Source organism: Homo sapiens, chromosome 16, assembly GCF_000001405.40.
Source record: "Homo sapiens chromosome 16, GRCh38.p14 Primary Assembly".
In the NCBI taxonomy this organism is placed as follows: domain Eukaryota; kingdom Metazoa; phylum Chordata; class Mammalia; order Primates; family Hominidae; genus Homo; species Homo sapiens.
Window position 1 is genome coordinate 24,842,992 of NC_000016.10, and position 26,060 is coordinate 24,869,051.

General features: G+C 44.9%; 1 protein-coding gene across 36 annotated transcripts in view; it reads left to right on the forward strand.

Moving 5' to 3' along the window:
* The first annotated feature begins 2,971 nt into the window (after positions 1–2,971).
* The window catches only part of SLC5A11 (solute carrier family 5 member 11), a 65,664-nt gene continuing 42,575 nt past the window's right edge, over positions 2,972–26,060 (forward strand). For 12 of the 36 annotated variants that reach the window (NR_172077.1, NR_147934.2, NR_172076.1 and 9 more), the window contains exons 1-4: positions 2,972–3,021; positions 3,241–3,447; positions 15,629–15,787; positions 19,610–19,681. Coding sequence is in view for 25 of the 36 variants with exons in the window: in NM_001352248.3 (NP_001339177.1) it covers positions 15,653–15,787; positions 19,610–19,681 (207 nt within the window). In the remaining 11 variants the exon portion in view is untranslated. Of the gene's footprint in view, positions 3,448–3,872; positions 3,979–15,628; positions 15,788–16,195; positions 16,305–18,991; positions 19,084–19,609; positions 19,682–26,060 lie in introns of all 36 variants that reach the window. The other 24 variants (NR_147938.2, NR_147935.2, NM_001352242.2 and 21 more) reach the window with 12 other exon arrangements.

Genomic DNA, 26,060 nt, shown 5'->3' on the forward strand with positions numbered 1-26,060 from the left:
ACAACATAGGCCAGGCTGGTCTCGAACTCCTGACCTCAGGCGATCCACCCACCTCGGCCTCCCAAAGTGCTGGGATCACAGGTGTGACCACCGCACCCAGCCCAGGTCAGCTCCTTTTGCTCAGCATAATGTTTCGTAGAGTCTTCGATTCATCCGTGGTGTTGCGTGGGTTGGGTAGTTCATTCCTTTCGATGAAAGTTTTTCACGGTGTTGGATGCACCGCAGTTTGTTTCTTCACTCACCTGTCGATGGAACTGGTGTTGTTTCCACTTAGAAACAGTTTTGAATAAGGCCACCATGAACACTTGTGTGCACAACTTTTTGGGAACATATGTCTCCATTTCTCTTGATAAATACCTAAGAGTGAAATTGCTGGGTCATGGGGGAGGTGTATGGTAACTTTATTTATTTATTTATTTAATTTTATTTTTTAGATGGAGTTTCGCCTTGTCACCCAGGCTGGAGTGCAATGGCACGGTCTTGGCTCACTGCAACCTCCATCTGCCTCCCAGGTTCAAATGATTCTCCTGCCTCAGCCTCCTGAGTAGCTGGGATTACAGGGGCCCACCACAACACCCAGCTAATTTTTGTATTTTTAGTAGAGACGAGTGCAGGCTGGTCTTGAACTCCTGACCTTGTGATCCACCCACCTTGGCCTCCCAAAGTGCTGCGATTACAGGCATGAGCCACCGCGCTCGGCAAAGTGTATGGTAACTTTATAAGAAATGTCCAAATAGTTCTCTAAAGTGGTTATACAGTTCTTTTTTTTTTTTTTTTTTTTTTTGAATTGAGATCTCATTCTGTTGCCTCGAGTGTAGTGGCACTATCATGGCTCACTGCAGCCTTGAACTCCTGGGCTCAAACGATTCTCCCACCTCAGTCTCCTGAGTAGCTGGGACTACAGGTGCACACTGCTATGTCCATCTAATTCTTCCTATTTTGTGTAGAGATGAGGGTCTCACTGAGTTACCCAGACTGGCCTCTAACTCCTGGCCTCAAGAGATCCTCCTGCCTCAGCTTCCCAAAGCTCTGAGATGATAGCATGAGCCCCTGCACTCCACCTCTCCTATTCTTTATAGCACTGAGGGTAAAAATGAAAAACCTGACAGAGAAACAATCGGAGGTGACAAGCCAAGGGTCGAGCAGGCCACATCTGGCCCTCAAGGATGCGTAATCATGAAACTTTGCAGAACTTCTCTAGAACAATCAGAAGTTCTGACCCCATTGGGCCTGTCTTCCCCCACGTGGAGCTGGGTCGTGGCTGTCCTCTTCAGCTGGGACACATGCTCTCGGGTCAGCCTCAGCTCCACCTGCCCGGCTTCACTCACTACCACGCCTCTTCTGTAGACACCCTGCACATGGCTAAGGCTCCCCAGACATTCCCAAGAAGTCAGGACTGGACCCCAGGTTGGCGAAGCAGTGCACCCTCGGTGGCACCCCACTGCCTTTCCTGGTGCTGTGGCCTCTGCTGCAGATCACAGATTCATGGCCTTCTGTCTGTCCCTCTTCTCCAATCCCAGCTGTTCCTTCTGTAAATCTGTCCCCCAGGGCAGGTCCCTCCCCCAAAGGCCCCATTCATACTGGTGTTGGTCAGTCACCCAGTGTTTGCTCACCCAGGCCACCCTTTATCCAGTCAAGCCACCCTCCACTGCTCCTGCAGGACTCTAGAGCCAGGTGGCCTGGGCTGAAATCTTGCTGTGTCACTTACAACCCGGGTGATCCTGGGCCGATGACTCATCTCCTCTACCTCTGTTACCTCGTCAGTAAGATAGAGATAACAGGACCTAACTTCGAGGGTTGTTGGAAAGACCAAGTGAGTAAAGGCATGTTGTGCCCTTAGAGCCTGGCACGTGTTCATCACTGCTATTATTTCTGGCTACTCGGTGCCAGGACAGGGGCCTCAGCTGAGGGCCCCCCAGAGCCTGGCAGGCCCAGTGAAGGAGTGAGATGGGGAGGCCACGACTCCTCCCCAGTCAGCAGCTGTCCTGTGGCCATGGGGGCCTGGTGAGGCCAGATCTTCAGGTTGTTCTAGAAAAGTGAGTATTCTAGAATTATGTTTCAAGCCTCTTGGTTTGCAAATACTAGTAACTATTTTTAAAATGTTTTGGTATTTGGCCTGGCACAGTGTTTGACCCCTGTAATCCCAGCACTTTGGGAGGCCAAGGTGGGAGGATCACTTAAACCCAGGAGTTGGAGACCAGCCTGGGCAACATAGCAAGATTCTCTCTCTACCAAAAAAATGAAAAAATTAGCTGGGTGTGGTGGTGCACGCCTGTAGTCCCAGCTACTCGGGAGGCTGTGGTGGGAGGATCACTTGAGCCCAGGAGGATGAGCCTGCAGCAAGCTGTGATGCCACCACTGCACTCCAGCCTGGGTGACAGAGTGAGATCCTGTCTCAGAAATAAAAAGTAAATAAAGTTTTGGATGCTTTGAGCATCTGGCAGAAATCTTCGCTATGCCCCGCTGATGTCCTGGGCCCGATGTGGGCGCCTGGCCATGGCTCGGTCACTCCTGACGGTTTTTCAGGGCCTCAGACACCTCTTCTTCTTCTTCTTCTTCTTTTTTTGAGACTGATTTTCGCTCTTGTTGCCCAGGCTGGAGTGCAATGGTGTAATCTCGGCTCACCACAACCTCCGCCTCCCGGATTCAAGTGATTCTCCTGCCTCAGCCTCCCGAGTAGCTGGGACCACAGGCATGCACCACCATACCCGGCTAACTTTGTATTTTTAGTAGAGATGGGGTTTCTCCATGTTGGTCAGGCTGGTCTCGAACTCTCGACTTCAGGCAGACACCTGTTCTTTGCCATGCCTCTGTCTGAAGAGTATATGGAAAGGGGTTGCACAAGCAATGGTTGCTGTTCCTGTTGCTGCCACTGCGGTGAGGGCTGTGGCTGGACGTCCCTCCTGGCACTTTGCCTCTGTCCCCTCCATCCGCCGCCAGCATTTTTCCTCCCCTCCCCTTCCTCCAGCTCGTCCCAAGCCTGCCTGTCCCCAGCGTGGAGGCGGGACAGTGGAAGACTGGGTGAGTGAAGCAGGATGGTGCCTTGGGCTCCAGCGTCTCCCCAACCCCTCCATGCCATGGGTCCCCACGCAGGTGAGGACCCTGGTGGAGGACGGTGTGGGCAGAGCGTGGGACATGTCACCTTCCCCACCTGCTCAGAGTTCAAGGGTCCTGGGCTGGGCCCCGTTCTCTCTTCTGCCCTGGGGAGATCATTCACGCTTCCTTTAATCCCCGCTGCAGCTGAGGCTGGAGTTTGGAGTTTGACCCGCTTGGAGGCTCTCTCAGCAGCGGGCATATAGGAGGAAGGGTCACTGCTGTCTCCGGAAGCTCTTGGCTGCAAAGAGAGAGGATCCCGGGTATCTCCCTCCTTACAACCACCGCCACCTCCTAGTGCCTTAGAAGCCACTGACAGCCCCCAGGGCAGGTGAGCCCTGCATCTGGAATAAGGTAAGACACCCCCTGCCCCCAAACAGGTAGCCACTCTCCAAACTGGGAAGTTGGTCTGGGGACAGGTGCTGGCAGAAGGACTCCAGCTGTCACCTGTGGGGCAGGGGAAGCTCAGCCCTCTCTGCAGAGAAAGCTTGTCATACACCAGGACAATGGAGTGTGTTTGTGGGGTGGGCATGGTGGTATGAAGCCAGCAGCCGGCAGCCAGCAGCACCGTACGTGGGTCCCAGCTCTTCCACTTAACCAAGGTCAGGGACATTGAGCCAAACATTTTGCCTCACCGAGTCTCAGGTTCCTTATCTGTCAAATGGGAATATGAACCTCAGGCTGACCCACCCCACAGGTGTGTTACCCAGAGATAACGAAGGTAAATGTATCCACATAAGCATTAAAAAGCTATAGGAATGTATTTACTACAACTGCAGCTGCTGTTAACTACAAGGCAAATACAAGTCTTCACTGGTACGTGTCAGACACGTGCAGAGAACTTTACGCCTGGATCTCATCTAACTGACACAGAAACCCTGTAAGGTAGGTACAGCACCCCCTAATTCATGGACAGAGTCTAAGGGTCATTAAATAACTTGCTCAAGGTAATACAGATAGTGAGTGGCCAAGCCAAGACTCAATTCCTGTGGCCATGAGCTCAGCCACAATATCAGTGATTTTCTTTTTCTTTCCTTTCTTTCTTTTTCTCTTTCTTTCTTTTTCTTTCTTTTCCTTTCTTTTCTTTGTTCTTTCTTTCTTTCCTTCTTTCTTTTATTTCTTTCCTTATTCCTTTCTTTCCCTTTCTTTCTCCTTCCTTCTTTCCTTCCTTCCCTCCCTCCCACCTCTCTGTTTCTCTTTCTTTTCCCTTTTTTCTTTCTTTCTTTCTTTCTTCTCTCTCTTTTATTATTTATTTCTTCCTTTCTTTCCCTTTCTCCTTCCTTCTTTCCTTCTTTGCCTCCTCTCTCTCTCTGTGTGTGTTTTCTGTTCTCTCTCTCTCTCGTTTCTTTTCTGTCTTTTCTTTCACAGGGTCTCTCTGTGTTGCCCAGGCTGAAATGTAGTACTATCATAGCTCACCAGCATGCCCTGCTAACTTTTTTATTTTTATTTTTTGTACAAATGGGGTCTCCCTGTGTTGCCTTGGCTGGTCTCAATCTCCTGAACTCAAGCGATTCTCCCGCCTCAGCCTTGCAAAGTGCTGGGATTACAGGCATGAGCCACTGCACCCTACCAATCAGTGGTTTTCAAATGGTGTTCTGCTGAATTATTCTGGGCAATAGTTGACAGAAGTGTCCTAGCCCATTGGGCATCCTGCAGATAGGACTTGGAAAAATGCTGTCCCTTTTTTGGGCGGTCACAGCGTGCAAAGGATCTATAGCAAAGGCTCTAAAAATCCCACATTTATTTGTTGTACCAACATTTATTGCATGCCTGTTTTGGGGACACAATGAGAGTGACAGAGACATGGACCTTTCTTTATGGGGCTTGCTGTGCAGTGCAGACAAGGGGTAATCACACACATCAAGTGTTACACTTGATTAGACTGTGATGAGAAGTTGTGTTTGCCATGAAAGCAAAAAGCTTGGGGACCCAATTTATATTGAGGCCAAGAGGGGGCTCCTTTGGGGATATACAGCAGGCTGACATCTAAAGGATGAGTAGGAGCTTGTCCAGCAAAGAGTGCAGGGAAGAGCATCCCAGGCAGAGGGAACAGAATGGCAAAGACCCTGAGGCCAGAAATCGTGTTCCAGGAATAAAATGAATGCTAGTATGTGGTGGGGTTGGAAGCACAACAAAGCACCCCAGCAGCATGGAGATGTTTTGAGCAGGAAAATGATCTGATCTGACTCATACTTAAAGATTTCTCTGGCTTCCGTGTGAGGGGCGGATTAAAAGGAAGCAAGGCTGGGTGAGGTGGCTCATGCCTGCAACCTCAGTGCTTTGGGAGGCCAAGTTGGGAGGATTGCTTGAGGCCTGGAGTTTGAGACCCGTCTGGGCAACATAGCAAGACCCCGTCTCTACAAAAAAATTACAAAATAAGAAGTTAGCTGGAGGCCAGGCATGGTGGCTCACACCTGTAATCCCAGCACTGTGCAGGGATCATTTGAGCCCATGGGGTTGAGGCTGCAGGAGCTGTGTTTGTGTCACTGCACTTTAGCCCAGGCAACAGAGTGAAACCCTGTCTCAAAAAATAAAAAATTAGCTAGGCATGTTGGCATGTACCTGTGGTCCCACCTACTTGGGAGACGGAGGTGGGAGGATCCCTTGAGCACAGATGTTCGAGAGTTTGAGGCCACAGTGAGCTCTGATGGCACCATTGCACTGCGGCTTGGTCAAGGGAACAAGACCCTGTCTCTAAAAATTAAGTAAATTAAAACAAAAATAAAATAATAAAATAAAAAGGAAGGAAGAATGGATATCGGGGAGGTAAGACTGGAGGGTCTTTCTCTAACCTAGACAGAAGTGATGGTGGCTCAGACAAGGGTGATAGCACTAAAAATGAGGGAAAATGTGTGGATTTATTATGTTTTGGAAGTAAGAGAGAATGGAATTGGGAGTGAATAGATTCTGGGAGGTGAGAAAGAGATGCTATAAATTCTTCGATGAGACATTTACATACCAGGCACTCTTGGTGCTTAGATGTAGTGCCTGGCACATAGAGGTGCTCACAGACCACTTGATAAGTGAACAAATGGACTAATGCCTTATAGATGACTCAGGTTTCTGGCAGGAGTGGCAGAGTGGCTGCAGCTGTCATTTAGTGAGGTGGGGAAGACTGGAAGAAGCACGTGCTTGGGCTGGAAAGCTTGGTCTGTAACTCGCACGTGTGAACTTTCAGACATCTATTAAGTAACAATGAGAAGCCGGGCACGGTGGCTCACGCCTGTAATCCCAGCACTTTGGGAGGCCGAGGCGGGTGGATCACCCGAGGTCAGGAGTTCAAGACAAGCTGGGCAACATGGTGAAACCCCATCTCTACTAAAAACACAAAAATTAGCCAGGCGTGGTGACACATGCCTGTAATCCCAGCTACTCGGGAGGCTGAGGCGGGAGAATCGCTTGAACCCGGGAGGCAGAGGTTGCAGTGAGCAGAGATTGCACCACTGCACTCCAGCCTGGGTAACAGAGCGAGACTCTGCCTTGGGGGCAAAAAAAAAAAAAAAAAAAAAATATATATATATATATATATATATATATATCCATGAGAGATGCCACGTTGGCATTTGGATGGACAGGTCTGGGCTCAGAAGGTGCTCTGTGATGTCTATTCTCTCTGGAATAATGAGACAAGATCATCCCTGAAAGGCAGGTGAAGGACAACGCTCTGCCGGGTCCCCTGCACTCACTGGGCATATGCCCTGTTACCCTGCTGTGGACCATTCAGGGAACGCTGCCCTGCCCTGCCATGCCTAGAATTTATTTCCAGATACCTGAAGCCGTGGCTCTTGCTAACGGACTAGGGGTGATCCTGGCCTCTGCTTCAGCCTCAAATCCTGAGATGTCTTTTTAAAATTTTTTATTTTATTATCATTATTATTATCTATTATTTGAGACAGGGTCTGGAGTGCAGTGGTGCAATCACAGCTCACTACATCCTCAACCTCTTGGGCTTAAACAATCCTTCTGCCTCAGCCTCCCAAATAGCCAGGCCCACAGACACACAGCACCATGCCCAGCTAATTTTTAAAAATTTGTTGTAGAGGAGAAAAAAAAAAGGGTCTCACTACATTGCCCAAGCTGGGCTCAAACTCCCGGCCTCAAGCGATCTTCATGCCTTGACCCCCCAGAATGCTGGGATTATAGGCATGAGCCATTGAGCCCAGCCAGGATCTGTCTTTTTGGCCTTTTTGTAGAGATCTCTCTGTTTCTATGAACCCCATGGCATCAACGGGTGGAGGAGGCCAGGGGTGGTCATTTAGCTCCTTATTCCTGCAGTTCTAGTCCCAGACAGCCCTTCTCTGCCTTCCAGGACTGACTCTTTTCCTCTTGTAGGGCTGCCTCCACTAGGCTCCCTAGACCCAGGCCAGGCCAGGGCACAGCTTGCTGCAGTGCAGCAGGCAGTCAGCGCCACTGCAGCCCAGGAGTGGTAGGAAAGGGTGCGAGTGGCTTCCAGCCTGGGTGATGAGACCCGTGCCAGTCCTTATCACATCTGGAATTTTCCCCACCAAGGTCCACGTGTCTCGGGGTAGTTAGGAGCTCTAGAGTTAAACCTGGGTTGGAGCCCTGCTTCAGTCATTTACTAGCAGTGTGGCCTTAGACCCGGCCTCAGCTTTGTTTTCCTCACCTGTACAATGGAGTTAATCAGAGTCCTTGTAGGGAGGCTGTGACTTCAAAACATGATTCATGCACATATGTGGCCAAGGTTTGCCTAACCACAAAGTTTATTCGTTTTTTTTTTTTCTTTAAGACAGAGTCTTGCTCTGTCACCCAGGCTAGAGTGCAGTGGTGAAATTTCAGCTCACTGCAACCTCCACCTCCCAGGTTCAAGCGATTCTTCTGCCTCAGCCTCCCAAGTAGCTGGGATTACAGGAGCCCACCACCACGCCCTGCTAATTTTTGTATTTTTAGTGGAGACAGGGTTTCATCACGTTGGCCAGGCTGGTCTCGAACTCTGGACCTCAAGCAATCCACCTGCCTCAGCCTCCCAAAGTGCTGGGATTACAGGCATAAGCCACTGCACCCGGCCTAGTTTATGCTCCTTTTATTTTTATTTTTATTGTTTTTAGAGATAGGGTCTCACTCTGTCACCAGGCTGGAATGCAGTGGTGCAATCATAGCTCAATGCAGTCTCAAACTCCTGGGCTTGGGCCCAGGGCAGTGGCTCACGCCTGTAATCCCAGCACTTTGGGAGGCCAAGGCAGGCGGATCACCTGAGGTCAGGAGTTCAAGACCAGCCTGGCCAACATGGTGAAACCCCATGTCTACTAAAAATACAAAAAAAGAAAAAAAAAATTAGCCGGACGTGGTTGCAAACGCCTGTAATCCCAGCTACCTGGGAGGCTGAGGCAGGCGAATCGCTTGGGGGCAGGAGAATCGCTTGAAGCCAGGAGGCAGAGGTTGCAGTGAGCCAAGATTGCACCACTGCACTACAGTCTGGGGGACAGAGTGAGACTTCATCTCAAAAAAAACAAAACAAAACAAAACTCCTGGGCTCAAGCAATCCTCCTGCCTCAGCCTCCCAAGTCATGCTTTCTTTAAAAAAAATGGTTTTATAAAATGGACGGGGAACAGAACAAGTACTCTGTATTTAATCACATTACACATACAATGAACATGCCTACTGCTTTTTACAAACCTGTGACGTATGTCTAATTATTAACCTCATTTCGTAGATGGGAAATTGAGCCTCAGAGAGGTGACTTGCCCACGATGAAGGAGCTCACAGGAGGCAGAGCTGGGATCTGAGTCAGGGCGGTGCAGTTCTAAAGTATTTACACTTTACGCTTTATCACGACATATCTATTTCCTGGAGAGTCTGTTGCTCATAATTAAAATTTGTAATTAGTCATTGTCATTTTCATTCAGAGCAGGGAACTTCCCTTGCTTCTCTCTCTCTCTCTCTCTCTCTCTCCCACTCTATCTGTTTCTCCCCCGATTCCTGCCACCCCCTCTAATGTGTTTGATACTCATCTGGAAATACGCCTGCACTCTGGCAAAATAGTACTATTTTGTGTCTTTGAGTGCTTTGGCTTCATGCTATAAATTGTGCTCTGTTTATTTCCCTCCTTTTTCTTTCATTATGAAACGTTTCAGACACACAGAAGTTATAAAGAATCACGCACATCCAGAAGCCAGCCTAAGGCATGAAATGCGGCAAATACAATCACAGCTCACCTTCCCACACCTGTGACCTGGGAACCTCTTTTCTGATCTTTTCCTTGCACTGGGGTGTGGAAATTTTTCACATCTCCTGGGGCGTGGAAAATTTTCACATCTACCATAGCAAATTATGTCAGTGGCCAAAAGGAAGGGATGAGAGAAGTCCCTGCTCCACTGAGCTTCCTTTTGTGCATTGGCCAATAGGCGACCTCAAGGGTAGGCTGTTCTCCTTGCCAACAAAGCCTTTGTTATAACACAAGCTGCCGTGAATCCTCCCCGCGGGCACAGGGAGGGTTCTTCACAAGAGGTGAAGAAGGAGCCACCCCCAACCACCCCAACCAGACCCTCCTGAGGCAGCCTGGGAGCCAAACATCACCATGCAAGGGACAAAGGGTGCCCGGGGTCACTTCACCGAGTGGGCCCAGGTACACACAGGGTGCAGGGGACTGAGATGAAAACCCAGAGGACGGGGCCAAGTCTACGCTTCTCATTGTTTTGTCCTTCATGCCAAACACAGAGCTTGGCACACAGTTGTTGCTTAATAAATGTTTATTTCACTGAGTCCCCAGGGCCTAGCACAGAGCATGGCACATAGCTGATGCCTAATAAATGTTTGTTCTACTGAGTCCCCAGGGCCTAGCACAGAGCATGGCACACAGCTGATGCCTAATAAATGTTTGTTCTACTGAGTTCCCAGGGCCTAGCACAGAGCATGGCACACAGCTGGTGCCTAATAAATGTTTGTTCTATTGAGTCCCCAGGGTCTAGCACAGAGCATGGTGCACAGCCGGTGCCTAATAAATGTTTGTTGTACTTAGTCCCCAGGGTCTAGCACAGAGCATGGCACACAACTAATGCCTAATGTTTGTTCTACTGAGTCCCCAGGGTCTAGCACAGAACCTGGTACACAGTTGGTGCCTAATAATGTTTGTTGCACTCAGTCCCCAGGGCCTAGCACAGAGCTTGGCACCCAGATGGTGCCTAATAAATGTTTGTTTCACTGAGTCCCCAGGGCCTAGTACAGAGCCTGGTACATAGTTGGTGCCTAATAAATGTTTATTTCACTGAGTCCCCAGGGCCTAGTACAGAGCCTGGTACATAGTTGATGCCTAATAACATTTGTTTTACTGAGTCACAAGACCTAACACAGAGCTTGGCACACCGCTGGTGACTAATAAATGTTCCACTGAGTTGCAGGGCCTGGCGTGGAGCCTGGCACACAGCTGGTGACTAATAAATGTTCCACTAAGTCCTCAGGGCCTGGCATGGAGCCTGGCACACAGCTGGTGCCTAATAAATGCTTGCAGGAAAGAAATAGAGCCAGAGGGAGGGAAAGAGAGAATGAAGGAGAGAAGGGCGGGAGGAAAGAAAGACCAGCCAGGAATGGCCACCTCCAAACCTGGGTTGGGATCCCACCCGCGGCACTGACTGCGGCCTAGAAGCAAGCAGCACAGCTATGCCTGAGTTAGGCTCACTTTCCCCTCTTGTGCCTCTGATTCCCACCTGTGAAATGGAGGTGAAATCACGTTTGCCTCAAAGGGCTGTGCTCCATGCCTGGCACTCAAATAGAAATCGTGCTCACCAAGTGTTAGGGCCGATTCTCAGTATACCTACTGCATGAATTTGCAGAGGGTGGAGCGCATGGAGGGTTCCTCCTGGGATCCTGTGGCCGAGGCTCCACAGCATCTTTGGTCGCTGTTCCTGTCTCCACCGTGAAGATGGAGCCACGTCCCTCGCGGCCCCTGGCTGGGCCCCACCTCCCGGAGACTCAGGAAGGGCTTGGAATCGGTGCCAGTTTCGCCGGCTGTGGGCCCCACGGCGATGATGAATAACTTGTTTATCTGCTGGAGCTTCTCCCACTGCTCTCTCGGTGCCTGGCAGGCAGAGGTCTGGAAGGGGCGGGCAGGGACAGGGAGGACTGGCTCACCAGGCAGCCGCCGCCCCTCCTCCCTCCTCCCTCTGCCCCACTCCCCAATTCAGCATCAACCTCCACCTAAACATGCTTCCTGCACTTTTCTACTCCTCATCTTTCCCCAAATCCTGTTTTAGAAGCAGCAGGTTGAAGTGTTTGAAAACACAGACTCTGAAATCAGACTGGATTCGAGTCCCAGCTTTGTCACTTGTCAGCCATGTGACTTTGGACACGACTTAAACTCTCAGAGCCATCACTCCCCCTGTAAAGTAAAGTTTTTTTTTTTTTTCCGGAGACAGAGTCTCACTCTGTCCCCCAGGCTGGAGTGCAGTGGCATAATCACAGCTCACTGCAACCTCCGCCTCCCGGGTTCAAGCGATCTTTCTGCCTTAGCCTCCAAAGTAGCTGGGATTACAGTTGCATACCACCACACCCACCTAAAAAAATTGCATTTTTAGTAGAGATGGGATTTCACCATGTTACCCAGGCTTGTCTCAAACTCCTGACCTCAGGTGATCCTCCTGCCTTGGCCTCCCAAAGTGCTGGAATTACAGGCATGAGCCACTGTGCCCAGCCTCCTCCCCTGTAAAGTCTGATGAGAACATTACTTACCTAATGGGGCTTCACCCTTGAGACAACCCACAAGGGTCCCCTCACCCCCTCCCCTCCTGAAGCTGCCAGAATGCTTTTCCTGCTTGGAACCTCCCTTAAGAGCCTCCACCCTTACCCTGAAAGGGAGTCTCCACCTCTAGGCCTTCTCTCACTTTCTTGCACAGAGAAAGGTTAGGTTAGGTTAGCCTTGTGTGTGTGTGTGTGTGTTTGTTTGTTTGTGGCAAGGTCTTGCTCTGCCTCCCAGGCTGCAGTGCAGTGGGGCAATCATAACTCACTGTAGCCAAGCTCCTGGGCTCAAGTGATCCTCCTGCCTCAGCCTCCCAAGGTGGTAGGATTATAGGCTGGAGCCACCACACCTGGCCTCCAAATTATTTCTCTAATCTACTCCCTCTGCTATGATCTGATTGTGCATGTCCCTCTGTCCCCAGATTCCTACATTGAAACCTAAATCCCTAATGCAATAGTATTAAGAGGCAGGGCATTTGAGAGGGTTAGGGTTATGAGGACTCTGCCCCCATGGATGGGATTAGCACGTTTATAAAAGAGGCTTGAGGCCAGGTGCGGTGGCTCATGCTTATAATCCCAGCACTTTGAGAGGCGGAGTTGGAGGAATTGCTTGAGCCCAGGAATTTGAGACCACCCTGAGCAACATAGACTTCATCTCTACAAAAAAAAAAAAAAAAAAATTAGCCAGGCATGGTGGTGCATCTATAGTGCCAGCTAATTGGGAGGCTGAGGCAGGAGGATCTCTTGAGCCTAGGAGGTTGAAGTTGCAGTGAGCTGTGATTGTGCCACTGTACTCCAGCCTGAGTAACAGAGCAAAACTCTTGTCTCTTTAAAAAAAGAGAAAAAGTGATTGTGCCACTGCACTCCAGTCTGGACACCAAAGTGAAACCTTGTCTCAAAATAAATAAATAAATAAATAAATAAAAATAAAACAAAAAGGCTTGAGAGAGCCAACTTGACCCATCCATCTACCATATGAGGACATAGCAAGCAAGTGCCACCTATGAGGAACGGGCCCTCACCAGACACTGAATCTGCTGACAGCTCGATCTTGGACTTTCTCCAGAACTGTGAGCAATAAATTTATGTTGTTTACAAATTACACAGTCTAAGGTATTTGATTGTAACAGTAGGAATGGACTAACCCCTGCTTATGTATGGTCTCAAGCCGGAGTCACTACCTCCAGAATAACCTCCCTGCCCGCGTTCTTGCTTCTCATCAAGGCTGCCCCCTGTCTGATCATACCACTTTCTTATTAGAAATTCCTCACTGACATCCTTTAACCCAGAGCACATGTGTGCACTGGAGGTGTTCCTGGCCTTCAGAGATGTTTCAAAATGTATGAGAGCATTTTTGGTTGTCACAATAATTTGGGAGTGCTACTGGCATTCAGCAGGGGGAGGCCTGAAATTCTAGACTTCCTGAAATGTGTATTGCCCACGCAATAAAGATTTTCAGAGGACCCACCAGACATTCATGTGGGCGAAAATCCCATTTATCACTATCTGAGTCCACAACCTACCTTCAGATTGCATAAAATGAAAAGTGTTGGAGTTTTTTCTTACTTTAAAAATGTACCTTGGCTGGGCTGGTAATCCCAGCACTTTGGGAGGCCAAGGTGGGAGGATTTCTTGAGGCTGGAGTTCAAGGCCAGCCTGGGGAACATAGGGAAACCTTGTCTCTTAAAAAATAAAATAGGCCGGGCGCAGTGGCTCACGTCTGTAATCCCAGCACTTTGGGAGGCCGAGGTGGGTGGATCACGAGGTCAGGAGATCGAGACCATCCTGGCTAACACGGTGAAATCCCATCTCTACTAAAAATACAAAAAAAAAAAAAAAAAAAAAAAATTAGCTGAGCGTGGTGGTGGGCGCCTGTAGTCCCAGCTACTCAGGAGGCTGAGGCAGGAGAATGGTGTGAACCGGGGAGGCAGAGCTTGTAGTGAGCCGAGATCAGGCCACTGCACTCCAGCCTGGGAGACAGAGTGAGACTCCATCTCAAAAAATAAATAAATAAATAAAAATAATAAAATAAAATAAAATAAACTTAGCTAAGTGTAAATGGTGGAGTCAAGGTCTTGCTCTTTTTGCCCAGGCTGGAGTGCAGTGGTACAATCTCAGCTCACTGCAACCTCCACCTCCCAGATTCAAGCAATTCTCATGCCTCAGCCTCCTGAGTAGCTGGGACTACAGGCATGCGCCACCACACCCAGCTAATTTTTGTATTTTTAGTAGAGACGGGGTCCACCACGTTGCCCAGGTTGGACTTGAACCCCTGGCCTCATGGGATCCACTCACCTCGGCCTCCCGAAGTGCTGGTATTATAGGCATGAGCCACTGAGCCCGGCCAAGGTGTACAGCTTCGGAGCCTGAATTCTTAACATCTCTCCCCATGAACCTGCCCTCTGTGAAACATCACGTTGTGCTGTTGTTGTCCATGGGTGGCTTTGTCCCATCACTGGGCTGTGCATTGCAAGATGGCAAGGATCAAGTATTTTCATTCCGGAATGCCCAAAGGCCAACAGAGTGGAGTTGCATCTTAACACAGAAATAAGTCAATGCCCTGATCACTTGTGGTCAAAAATCACCCTTGGAAATTTTATTAGTTTCTGACTGCTGCTTTAACAAATTACCATGAACTTAGTGGCTAAAACAACATAAATTTATGACCTTACAGTTACAGAGGTTAGAAGTTCTAAATGGGTCTTACTGGGCTAAAATCAAGGTGTCAGCAGGACTGAATTCCTTCTGGATGTGCTAAGGAAGAATCTATTAATTTGCCTTTTCCAGTTCCTAGAAGCCACCTGCACTCCTTGGCTTGTAGCTCCATTACCCCATCTTCAAATCTAACAACGTTGAGTGAAATCCTTCTCATGCTGTCATCTCTGTGGCTATCTCTTCTGATTCTGTTTTTACTGTGATTACATGGGGCCCACCCAGTTAATCCAGGCATCTCCCTATTTTCAGGTTAGCTGCAGCTAGGCATCTCCCAATTTTAAGTGATTTGACTACCAACCTTAATTTTATCTGCAAACTTAATTGTCCTTTGATATGTAACAACATATTCACAGGTTCTGGGGATTAGAGGTAAGCATCTTTGGGGGCCATTTCTCTGTCTACCACAAGATTTCCTTAAATTGCCCATGGATTTGCAGGGTACTGAGAAAACTGCTTAGATTAGTGGCTCAAAGCATGGATTCTGGAGCAAGATTATTGAGTTCAAATCTCAGCTTTATGACCTTGGGCACTTACTTAACTTTTCTGTGTCTCTGTGTCTCAACTTCACCATCTGTAAAATGGGGATGATAACAATAGTGCCCACTTTGCAGGTTAGTAAACACTTAGAATGATGCCCAGGATATAGTAGATGCAATATGAGTGTTTATTAAATATATTAAATTTCATGGTATATGTAGCATTGGAACAAGATTATGGTGTCTGGCTGAGCCTTGGACAAAATTGTTGACTTGACTCTCACCCAGCTGTGAGGTACCACGGAAGTGGAGACTGACTCAGGTGTCTCATTTTTCTTTCACTCTGGGACACGTGCTTGCTGAAATCATCTGTACTATTGCAATTGTTTATGCTTCTTTCTATTTTGCCAAGTGAGTGACAAAATTGACTGCAGATTTGATGTGACTTCATTATGAATATGTGTTGAATGAATGAATGAGTGAGTGGATGGTGGATGGATCGATGGATGGATCTGTCTTCCCTGAAGATCTGTCTTCCACCACACATCCCTCCACATGGGTCCTCTTTCATGGATGGCCTAGGGAGGTAGCTACAGAAAGGGTGAGAAGAATGATGCTAGGATCTGGCATTTGACTGGCATTTGCCCTTCCTCAGGATCCAGAGGTCTCGTTCAGGACCATGGAGAGCGGCACCAGCAGCCCTCAGCCTCCACAGTTAGATCCCCTGGATGCGTTTCCCCAGAAGGGCTTGGAGCCTGGGGACATCGCGGTGCTAGTTCTGTACTTCCTCTTTGTCCTGGCTGTTGGACTATGGGTAAGCCAGGCCACTGGGGGATGGGGGATGAAGAGAGAAGGAAATGTCTGTTTAGAGGTCCGGAGTTAACCTCATCCTTTTGGAGCTAAGATACTGACTGTGAGAGGAAGAAACTAACACAAGGTTATAGAGTAATCAGAACTTAAAAATTTTAAACATGCATTGGGTGTGGACTATTGTCAGACACTGTTTTAAGCATTTTCACTTACATTTCTCATGTAATTTTCACAGGCCCCTGTGAGAAAGATGCTGTTACAATACCCATTTTACAGATAAGGAAACACAGGCCCAAATAATTTAAGATCCTCATCCTGTAAGTTAGGAGAGTTAGGGTTAGAATCCCTGTCTCCCTTACTTCGAAGCTCATGTTTTGTTTTTGTTTTTGTTTTGTTTGTTTTGCTTTTTGAGGTGGGATCTCCCTCTGTTGCTCAGGGTACTAGAACGCAGTGGTGGCAATCATAGCTCACTCCGGCCTCGACTTCTTGGGCTCAAGTGATCCTCTCACCTCGGCTGCCAGGTAGTTAATTTTTAAATTTTTTTTTGTAGAAATGGGATCTCAGTATGTTGCCCAGGCTGGTCTCAAATTCCTGGGCTCAAGCAATTCTCCCATCTTAGCCTCCCAAAGTGCTGGGATTACAAACAGCCCAACTGTGTTTTTTTTTACTTTAAAGAAAACTTTAAAGGCAATACAGTCACATGGCTCACAAATAAAAATCACTTATGACAAGCGATGAAAAATCTCAATATTAGCCTTCTCTCCACAGGTAACCAATATTATTAGCTTGTTAGTACATAAGCGTGTGGTTCAAGTGTCTTTATGCAAATCCAAGCAAATTTTAATTGCATATTTCCCTCTTTCTTAAACAGAAGGTAGCTTATACTGTTTTTTAGCTTTCTATTTTTCACTTCTCAGTATCTTTTAGATATCTTTTCACATTAGCACGTAGACATTCCTTATCTTCTTAAAAGTTGCATAATATTTCCTTAGATGATTGTGTTGTAATTTATTTAACTAGTCTCGGGCTGAAGGTCATTTGGATTGTTTCCAATCTCTTACTATAATAAACTATACTATAATAAACAAACCCTGGCCCAGCGCAGTGGCTCACGCTTGTAATCCCAGCACTTTGGGAGGCCAAGGCAGGCAGATCACTTGAGGCCAGGAGTTTGAGACCAGCCTGGCCAACATGGTGAAATCCCATCTTTACTAAAAATACAAAAATTAGGCCAGGCGCGGTGGCTCACGCCTGTAATCCCAGCACTTTGGGAGGCAGAGGTGGGCAGATCACTTGAGGCCAGGAGTTTGAGACGAGCCTGGCCAATGTGGTGAAACCCCATCACTATTAAAAATACAAAAAATTAGCCAGGTGTGGTGGCGGGTGCCTATAGTCCCAGCTACTTGGGAGGCTGAGGCAGGAGAATGGCATGAATCCGGGAGGCAGAGCTTGCAGTGAGCCGAGATCGTGCCACTGCACTCCAGCCTGGGCGACAGAGTGAGATTCCATCTCAAAAAATATATATAAAAAAATTAGCCAGACGTGGTGGTGGGTGCCTGTAATCCCAGCTACTCAGGAGGCTAAGCCAGGAGAATCACTTGAACCTGGGAAGCAGAGGTTGTGGTGAGCTGAGATTGTGCCATTGCGCTCCAGCTTGAGCAACAAGAGTGAAAATCCGTCTCAAAAATAAATAAATAAATAAACTCTGTACACTGTTTGGGAGTGTAGCTATAAGATAAATTCCCTGCAGCAGAAATGCGTATATTAAAGAATATATGCATTTGTGATTATACTAGTTTGTGTCAAATTGCACTCCTTAGGTGTACACATCAGAAATGATGAGAAAGTCTGTTTTGTCACATTCTCACCAACAGTGTATTGTCAAACTCATTTTTGTCAGACTAGGAAAAATAATATCTCAAAGTTTTTTTTGTTTTTTGTTTTTTGTTTTGAGACGGAGTCTTGCTGTCGCTCAGCCTGGAGTGCACTGGTGCAATCTCAGCTCACTGCAAGCTCCACCTCCCAGGTTCATGCCATTCTCCTGCCTCAGCCTCCCTAGTAGCTAGGACTACAGGCATCCGTCACCATGCCCGGATAATTTTTTTTGTATTTTTAGTAGAGATGGGGTTTCACCGTGTTAGCCAGGATGGTCTCAATCTCCTGACCTCGTGATCCGCCTGCCTCGGCCTCCCAAAGTGCTGGGATTACAGGTGTGAGCCACCGCACCCAGCCAGTATTGTTAATATGCATTTATCTTACAATGAATGAGGTTGGGCCCCATTACGTATGTTTAAACACCACATATTTTCTTTATGTGAACTATGGCTTCATATCTTTTGCCTTATTTCTATTAGGTTCTTCTTCTTTTTCTTATCAATTTCCAGGAGCTCTTTTTGTATTAAGGATATTAACAACTTTGAGATAAAAGGTCAGGCACAGTGGCTCACACCTGTAATCCCAGCACTTTGGGAGGCCGAAGTGAACAGATCGCTTGAGCTCAGTTCGAGACCAGCCTGGCAACATAGTAAGATACCATCTCTACAAAAAACAGAAAAATTAGTTGAGCATGGTGGCATATGCCTGTAGTCCCAGATACTTGGAAGGCCGAGCCAGGAGGACTGCTTGTGCCTAGCAGTTCAAGGTTACAGTGAGCCATGATCATGTCACTGCACTCCAGCCTGAGTGACAGAGTGAGAACCAGTCTCAAAAAAGAAAGAAAGAGAGAGAAAGGAAAGAAAGGAAGGAAGGGAAGGGAAGGGAAAAAGAAAGAAAAATAAAAGAAAAGAAAGAAAGAGAGAGAAAGAAAGAGAAAGAGAAAGGAAGGAAGGAAGGGAGGGAGGAAGGAAGGGAGGGAAAGGGAAGGGAAGGGACAAGAAGAAGAAAGAAAAAGAAAGAAAGGAAGGAAGGGAGGGAGGAAGGAAGGGAGGGAAAAGGAAGGGAAGGGGCAGGCAGAAGAAAGAAAAAGAAAGAAAGAAAAAGAAGGAAAGAAAGAAAGAGAAAGAAAAAGGAAGGAAGGAAGGAAAGAAAGAAAAGAAAAAAGAAAGAAAAAATTAATCACCAATGTGATAGTATTAACAGATGGGGCGTTTCGAGGGTGATTAAGTCATAAGAACTGAGCCCTCATGAATGGGATTACAGACTTTATTAAAGAAGCTCAAGGGAACTAGTTTTACCCCTTTTTGCCCTTCTGTTCCTCTGGCATGTGAAGACACAGAGGAGGTACTATCTACGAGGAACAGGCTCTCACCAGACACCAAACCTCTCGGTGCCTTGATATTGAACTTCCAAGTCTCCAGAATTGTAAGAAACAAATTTCTGTTGTTTAAAAATCACCCAGTTTCGGGTATTTTGTTATAGTAGTGCAAAGCAGACTGAGACATGAGCCTCGGTTTCTTCCTTTATCAGATTGGCCTAACGACACAAACCTCATAGGGGTTGGTAAGGATTAAATGAGGTAATGCATATAAAGTGCTTGGCACAGCATCTGGCACATAGTAAACACTCAATAAATGGTATCAGTTATAAAACATCATAAACAAGCCATGAGCCTAAGACTCAAATGTCTAGGGAGACCAAGTAGGTTATCATAAAATAAATGTTTGTAGCAACAAGTGGTAGGAGCTTTGTTGACCTGAAGAGTTTATGTTTCCTCTAAAGACACAAAATTAAAATTTTATCCAAAACTCTGGGAGAAACAAAATATATTTGATATCCGAATCTGGCCCTCAGGACTCCCAGTTTGCAATCCCTGCCTGGCCTAGGCCATTTTGAGATGCCTCTGATTGCTAACGTCTTCCCTCACCCACCTCTCTTCTTTTTTTTTCAGTCCACAGTGAAGACCAAAAGAGACACAGTGAAAGGCTACTTCCTGGCTGGAGGGGACATGGTGTGGTGGCCAGTAAGTGGTCTTTGGTTCAATTAAAGTCACTTCTTAAAGAATCTTCAAGTGCTGGGATTCTGTCCAGCCTTTGATATCTCAGGACTCTCTGGTCTCATGTCGTTTGGAAGTCATTGTCTAAACTAGAGAAGGCTTAGCTCCAGCTCAAATTCGTTTAAACAACAACAAAAAAAAACAATTTGTCACCTCATCTAAGGGAAAAATCTGGAGTTAGGTTTTAAAAATATATATTTATATAAATATATTTATATAAATATATATTATATAAAATATATAACATATAATTATATATTATATAATATATAATTATATAATATATAATCATATATTTATGTAATATATAGTTATATAATATATAATTTATATATTTATGTAATATATAGTTATATAATATATATGATTTATATATTATATATAATAGATATATATTATATATAATAAATATGTAAATATATATGTATAATCACAACCTTAAATAGAAAACCAGTATCATTTGCTCTACATAGAAAAGCAGGGAATCATAAAAATAAAATTTAAAAATGTGCTTTTCTCCTCTGGACTCATTCATGCAGCTGCATTTAGTTGGTGACTAGGCTAGACAGAAGTCCAAGATGGCTTCATCCACATTTGGGGGGCTTTGGCAGGGGTCACTGGAATACTGGGACCTCATTTTCTCCCTATTCTCTTTCATCATTCAGTGGCCTAGCCCAGGGTTTTGTGGTTTTTCTTGCTGTTGTTTTTGTTTTTGTTTTAACCAGGTAGCTGAATCCCAAGAGGGCAAAAATGAAAGCTACTAGGCTGTTAAGGTCTTGGCCTGGAAGTCACTTCTACCACATTCTGTTGGTTAAAGTAAATTACAGGCCCGCACAGTTTCTGTATGGGCCATGTGGAAAAGTCACATTTGAACGGTGTCATTGGGAAAGGCAGAGTAAAGAGCTTCAAAAATTCTCTCCTCCATAAAAGCTATGAGAAGTGAAGCAAAAAAAAAAAATTGTCAAAATCAACTTTTTCAGAACTCTGGGGATTAACCACATGCTGCAATAATTCAGGAAGCATTTATTCAAGAAAAACAGCTGGGTCTCAGAAAAAAACAGTGAGCTTTGGCCCTGTTTCCATCTCTCTCTCTTTAGCTGTGTTGTAGCCTTGGGAAACCACCAGCCTAGAAGCAACTGAAGAGGTCAGAATGGGATTAGAACTCTTTCAAAACTCCATTCTCTAAAAAAGGTCACTGTTTTACCCGTCACCTGTTCCCTGGAAAGCCCCACCTGCTGGGCTCATCTTTATTTGACCTTACGTAGAACTCATTCAGTGTGCATAGCCTTTTCCCTAGACACATTTGTAGAAAAACAATCAGTGGTAATTGTTTAACATTGCAGCTGTGGCAATAACAGTTTGGCAAATAATATTCTAGTAAGACAACTTAAATAGAAAAGCTGGGAAGTGAGATGCACATAGGGTGCTTTGAAAAACTCAGACATATTTCTGGGAATCTAGAAGGCCATGTGCATAGGCCCACACACATGCTTAGAAAAGTCCCGAGAAAGCCCTAAGCTCTTGCCTCTGGCTGACCTTGGGGCTCTGCACAAGCAGGAAGTGAAGGCTAAGGCAGAGTTATAAGCTGGGAGAATTGCAAAGACTGGGAAAATTATTGGTTTCAGGGATTTAAGAAAATGTCTTTTCAGTCATTAGCTGCCCAATAAACTGAGCATAGATTTTGGTGGCCACACATGATAAAGAATTCAGACTTCATAAACTTAATTTAAGAAAGTCATGAAACAAACAATAGAAGCAGCAACAACAGCAAGAATGAATAGAAGAAACAACAATAAACCCTGAAGAGTCAGGAATTATCAGATTTCTAGAGTTACCAGTGACATCATTTTAAATGTCCACCTTTAACAAGAAATTATAAGGCATGCAAAAAAACCCAAGAAAGTATGGTCCATACACAGGGGAGAAAAAGCAGTCAATAGAAAGTGTCCCTGAAGAAGGCCAGATGTTATATTCACTAAACAAAGGCCTTAAATCAGCAATTTTAACTATATCCAAAAAACACACAAAAAAGCCATGTCTTGAAGACTAAAGAAAAGTATGAGAACAATGTTTAACTAAACAGAATATATCATTAAAGAGATAGATTTTTTTTTAAGTGGAAATTATGGAGTTGGAAAGTAACAATAAGTGAAATAACATACTCACTAGAGGGGTTCAACAACAGATTTGAGCAGGCAAAAAAAATGAATCTGTGAAATTGAAGATAGATTAATTGAGATTATGAAGTCTGAGGAACAGAAAAAAAACGAAGAGAAACAGAGTCTCAGAGATCTGTGGGACATGATTAAGCATAATTAACATACACATAATTGAAGTTCCAGAGGAGAGGAGAGAGAGAGAAAGGGGCAGAAAGAATAATAAAAGAAATAGTGGTTTAAAATTGACTAAATTTTATTAACAATATTAATCTACACATCCAAGAAATATAATAAACTGCAGTAGAAGAAATTCAAAGAGACTCATACCTAAATACATCAAAATCAAACTGTCAAAAGTCAAAGATTCTTGAAAGCAGCAAGAGAGGAACAATCCATTACATACAGGAAGTCTTCGGCTGGGCACGGTGGCTCACACCTGTAATCCCAGCACTTTGGGAGGCCAAAGCAGGCGGATCACTTGAGGTCAGGAGTTTGAAACCAGCCTGGCCAACCTGGAGAAACCCCATCTCTACTTACAAAAAATTAGCTGGGCGTAGTGGTTCATGCCTGTAATCCCAGCTACTCAGGAGGCTGAGGCAGGAGAATTGCTTGAACCTGGGAGGCGGAGGTTGCAGTGAGCTGAGACTGAGCCACTGCACTCCAGCCTGGGTGACAGAGTGAGACTCCATCTCAAAAAAAGAAAAGTCTTCAATAAGATTATCAGCTGGTTTTTTCATCAGAAACCATGGAAGCTCAAAGTACCAAAAGAAAAAGGCTACCAATCAAAACTAATGTTGAGCAAAACTATCCTTTGAAAAAGGGGGAAATGTATACATTCCTAGACTTTTTTCTTTTAATGAGAAAATTCACTGGTAGAAGACCTACCCTATAAGAAATTCTAAAGGTAATCCTTCAGGCTGAAATAAAGACATCAGAGAGTAACTTGAGTCTACATGAAAAAAATAAACAAAGAGCACTGGTGAAGGTAACTATGTAAGTAAATATAACATACAGTATAAATTGGTTTTCGATTGTAACTCTCTTTTTCTTCTCTCTAATTTAAAAGACAGTTGCATAAATAGCATAAAAGGTAAGTAGCTAATAATCCAAAATTGATTTTTATAAGATGTTAATTATAATCCTCAGAGCAATCACTAAGAAAGTAATTTTAGAAAATAGTAACAGAAACTATTGTTTTAATAAAGGAATTTAAATGGCATACTAGATAATATCTAGCACAAAAGGCAATGGAGGAATAGAAGAATAAGAAGGACACTAGACATATATTAATTGCATGGTAATATGGCATATGTAAATTCTACTTTACCAGTATTACATTAATTTAAATGGATTAAACACTCCAATCAAAAGGCAGAGAATGGATTTTTTTTTTAATGTGATCCAACTGTATGTTGTCTACAAGAGATATACTTAGATCAAAGATACAAATAGGGCTGGGCATGGTGACTCAAACCTGTAATCCCAGCACTTTGGGAGGCCAAGATGGGTGGATCACTTGAACTCAGGAGTTCAAGACCAGCCTGGGTAACATGGTGAAACTCCACCTCTACCAAAAATGCACATGTGCCTGTAGTCCCAGCTACTCAGGGAAGCTGAGATGGGAGGATCACTTGAGCCCAGGAGGTGGAGGTAGCAGTGAGCCAAGATCACACCACTGCACAGCAGCCTGGGCAACAGTGAGATCCTGTCTAAAAAAAAAAAAAAAGATACGAATGACTGAAAGTAAAAGTAAAAGGATGGAAAAAGCCTGTTTAACCAAACACAATATATTTCAAATATGTTGAAAGTAAAAAGATGGAAAAATATATAACATACAAACAGTAACCAGAAAAAAGCAGGAGTGGCTATACTAATACCAGACAAAATAGACTTTAAGATAAACATTGTCACTAGAGACAAAAAAGAAAATTACATAATGATAAAAGGGTCAATCCCTCAAGAAGACATAACAATTATAAACATAATTGCACCTAACAACAGACTCCCAATATATATGAAGCAAAAACTGACAGAATGAAGGGAGAAATAGACAATTCAAACACTAATAATTGGTGACTTTAATATCTCATTTTCAATAATGTATGGAAAAACAAAATAAGATCAACAAGAAAATAGAAGACATGAACAACACTATAAACCAACTGACCTAACAGACATATATAAAATAATTCATCCAACAACAGCAAAATACCTATTCATCTTAAGTGCACATGGAACATTCTCCAGAATAGACTGTATGTTAAGCCATAAATAAATCTCAAGAAATTTAAAATGATTGAAATAATACAAAGTGTGTTGTCTATCCACAGTGGAATGAAATTATAAATAAATAACCTTGGAAAATTCCCAAATACATATCAATTAAACAACACACTTCTAAATAACCAATGGGCCAAAGAAGAAATCACAAGACAAATTAGAAAATACTTTGAGATTACTGAAAATGAAAACAGCATGCTAAAACTTATGGGATCCAGCTAAAGCAGTGCTTAGAAGAAAACTTACACCACAATGCCCATATTAAAAAAGAAGAAAGATGTCAAACCAATTACCTCATCTTTTACATTAAGAAACTAAAAAAGAAGGGCAAATTAAACCCAAAGCAAGCAGACAGAAGAAAATAACAAAGATTAGAGTGGAGGTAAACAAAATGTAGAATAGAAAACTGTTAGAGGAAATCAAAAAAATCAAAAGTTTGTTCTTTGAAAACATCAACAAAATTGACCAATTTCTACCTAGATTAAGAAAAACAAGACAGAAGATGCAAATTAATAAAATTAGAAATGAAAAAGGGGGAATTTCCATCAACATTATGGAAATTAAATATAGTTATAAGGAAATGCTGTGAGCAATTATATGCAAAAAATTAAACAACCTACATGAAATGAACAAATTCCTAGACACAGAGTACCAAAACTGACTCAAGTAGAAATAGAAAACCTGAATTATATCTATAAAAAGTAAAGACAGGCCAAGCACAGTGGCTCACCCCTGTAATCCTAGCACTTTGGGAGGCTGAAGAGGGCGAATCACCTGAACTCATGAGTTTGAGACCACCCTGGGCAACACGGTGAAACCCCATTTCTACTAAAATACAAAAAATTAGCTGGTTGTGGTGGCATGTGCTTGTAATCCCGGCTACTCAGGAGGCTGAGATAGGAGAATCACTTGAACCCAGGAAGCAGAGTTTGCAGTGAGCTGAGATGGCACCATTGCATTCCAGCCTGGGTGACAAAGCAAGACTCCATTTCAAAAAAAAAAAAAAAGTAAAGACAGTGAATTAGTAATCACAAAACTTCTCACAAAGAAAAAGACCAAGCACCAAGGATCAAGATGGCTTCAACGATAAACTCTTCCAAACATTCCTAGAATAATTAACACAAATGCTTTACAGATTCTTCCAAAAAAAAAAAAAAAATTAGAGGCCAGGTGTGGTGGCTCATGCCTGTAATCCCAGCACTTTGGGAGGCCAAGGTGGGCAGATCACGAGGTCAGGAGACCCAGACCATCCTGGCGAACACGGTGAAACCCCGTCTCTACTAAAAATACAAAAAAAAAAAAAAATTAGCCGGGCGTGGTGGCGGGCGCCTGTAGTCCCAGCTACTCGGGAGGCTGAGGCAGGAGAATGGCATGAACCTGGGGGATGGAGCTTGCGGTGAGCTGAGATCACACCACTGCACTCCAGCCTGGGAGACAGCAAGACTCCGCCTCAAAAAAAAAAAAAAAGAGACTCACACTTCCCAATTTGAAAACTTACTACAACGCTACAGTAATCAAAAGAATATGATACTGACAGAAGGATAAACATGAAATCCATGAAATAGAATTTGATAAGAAGCAGAGACAGGAAAGTCAATAAGGAGGTAAAATGGCTCTTTCACAATTCTCTCTCCTCTCTTCTCTTCCTTCACCCTTCTCCTCCTCCTTTCCTTCCTCCTCCTCCTCTTTTTCTTCTTGCTCCCTCCTTTCCCCTCCTCACTGGATCTGCCTTTTTTTTTTTTTTTGAGACGGAGTCTCTGTCGTCCAGGCTGGAGTGCAGTGGTGCAATCTCGGCTCGTTGCAACCTCCACCTCCCGGGCTCGAGCGATTCTCCTGCCTCAGCCTCCTGAATAGCTGGGATTATAGGCATGTGTCACCACGCTCAGCTAACTTTTGTATTTTTAGTG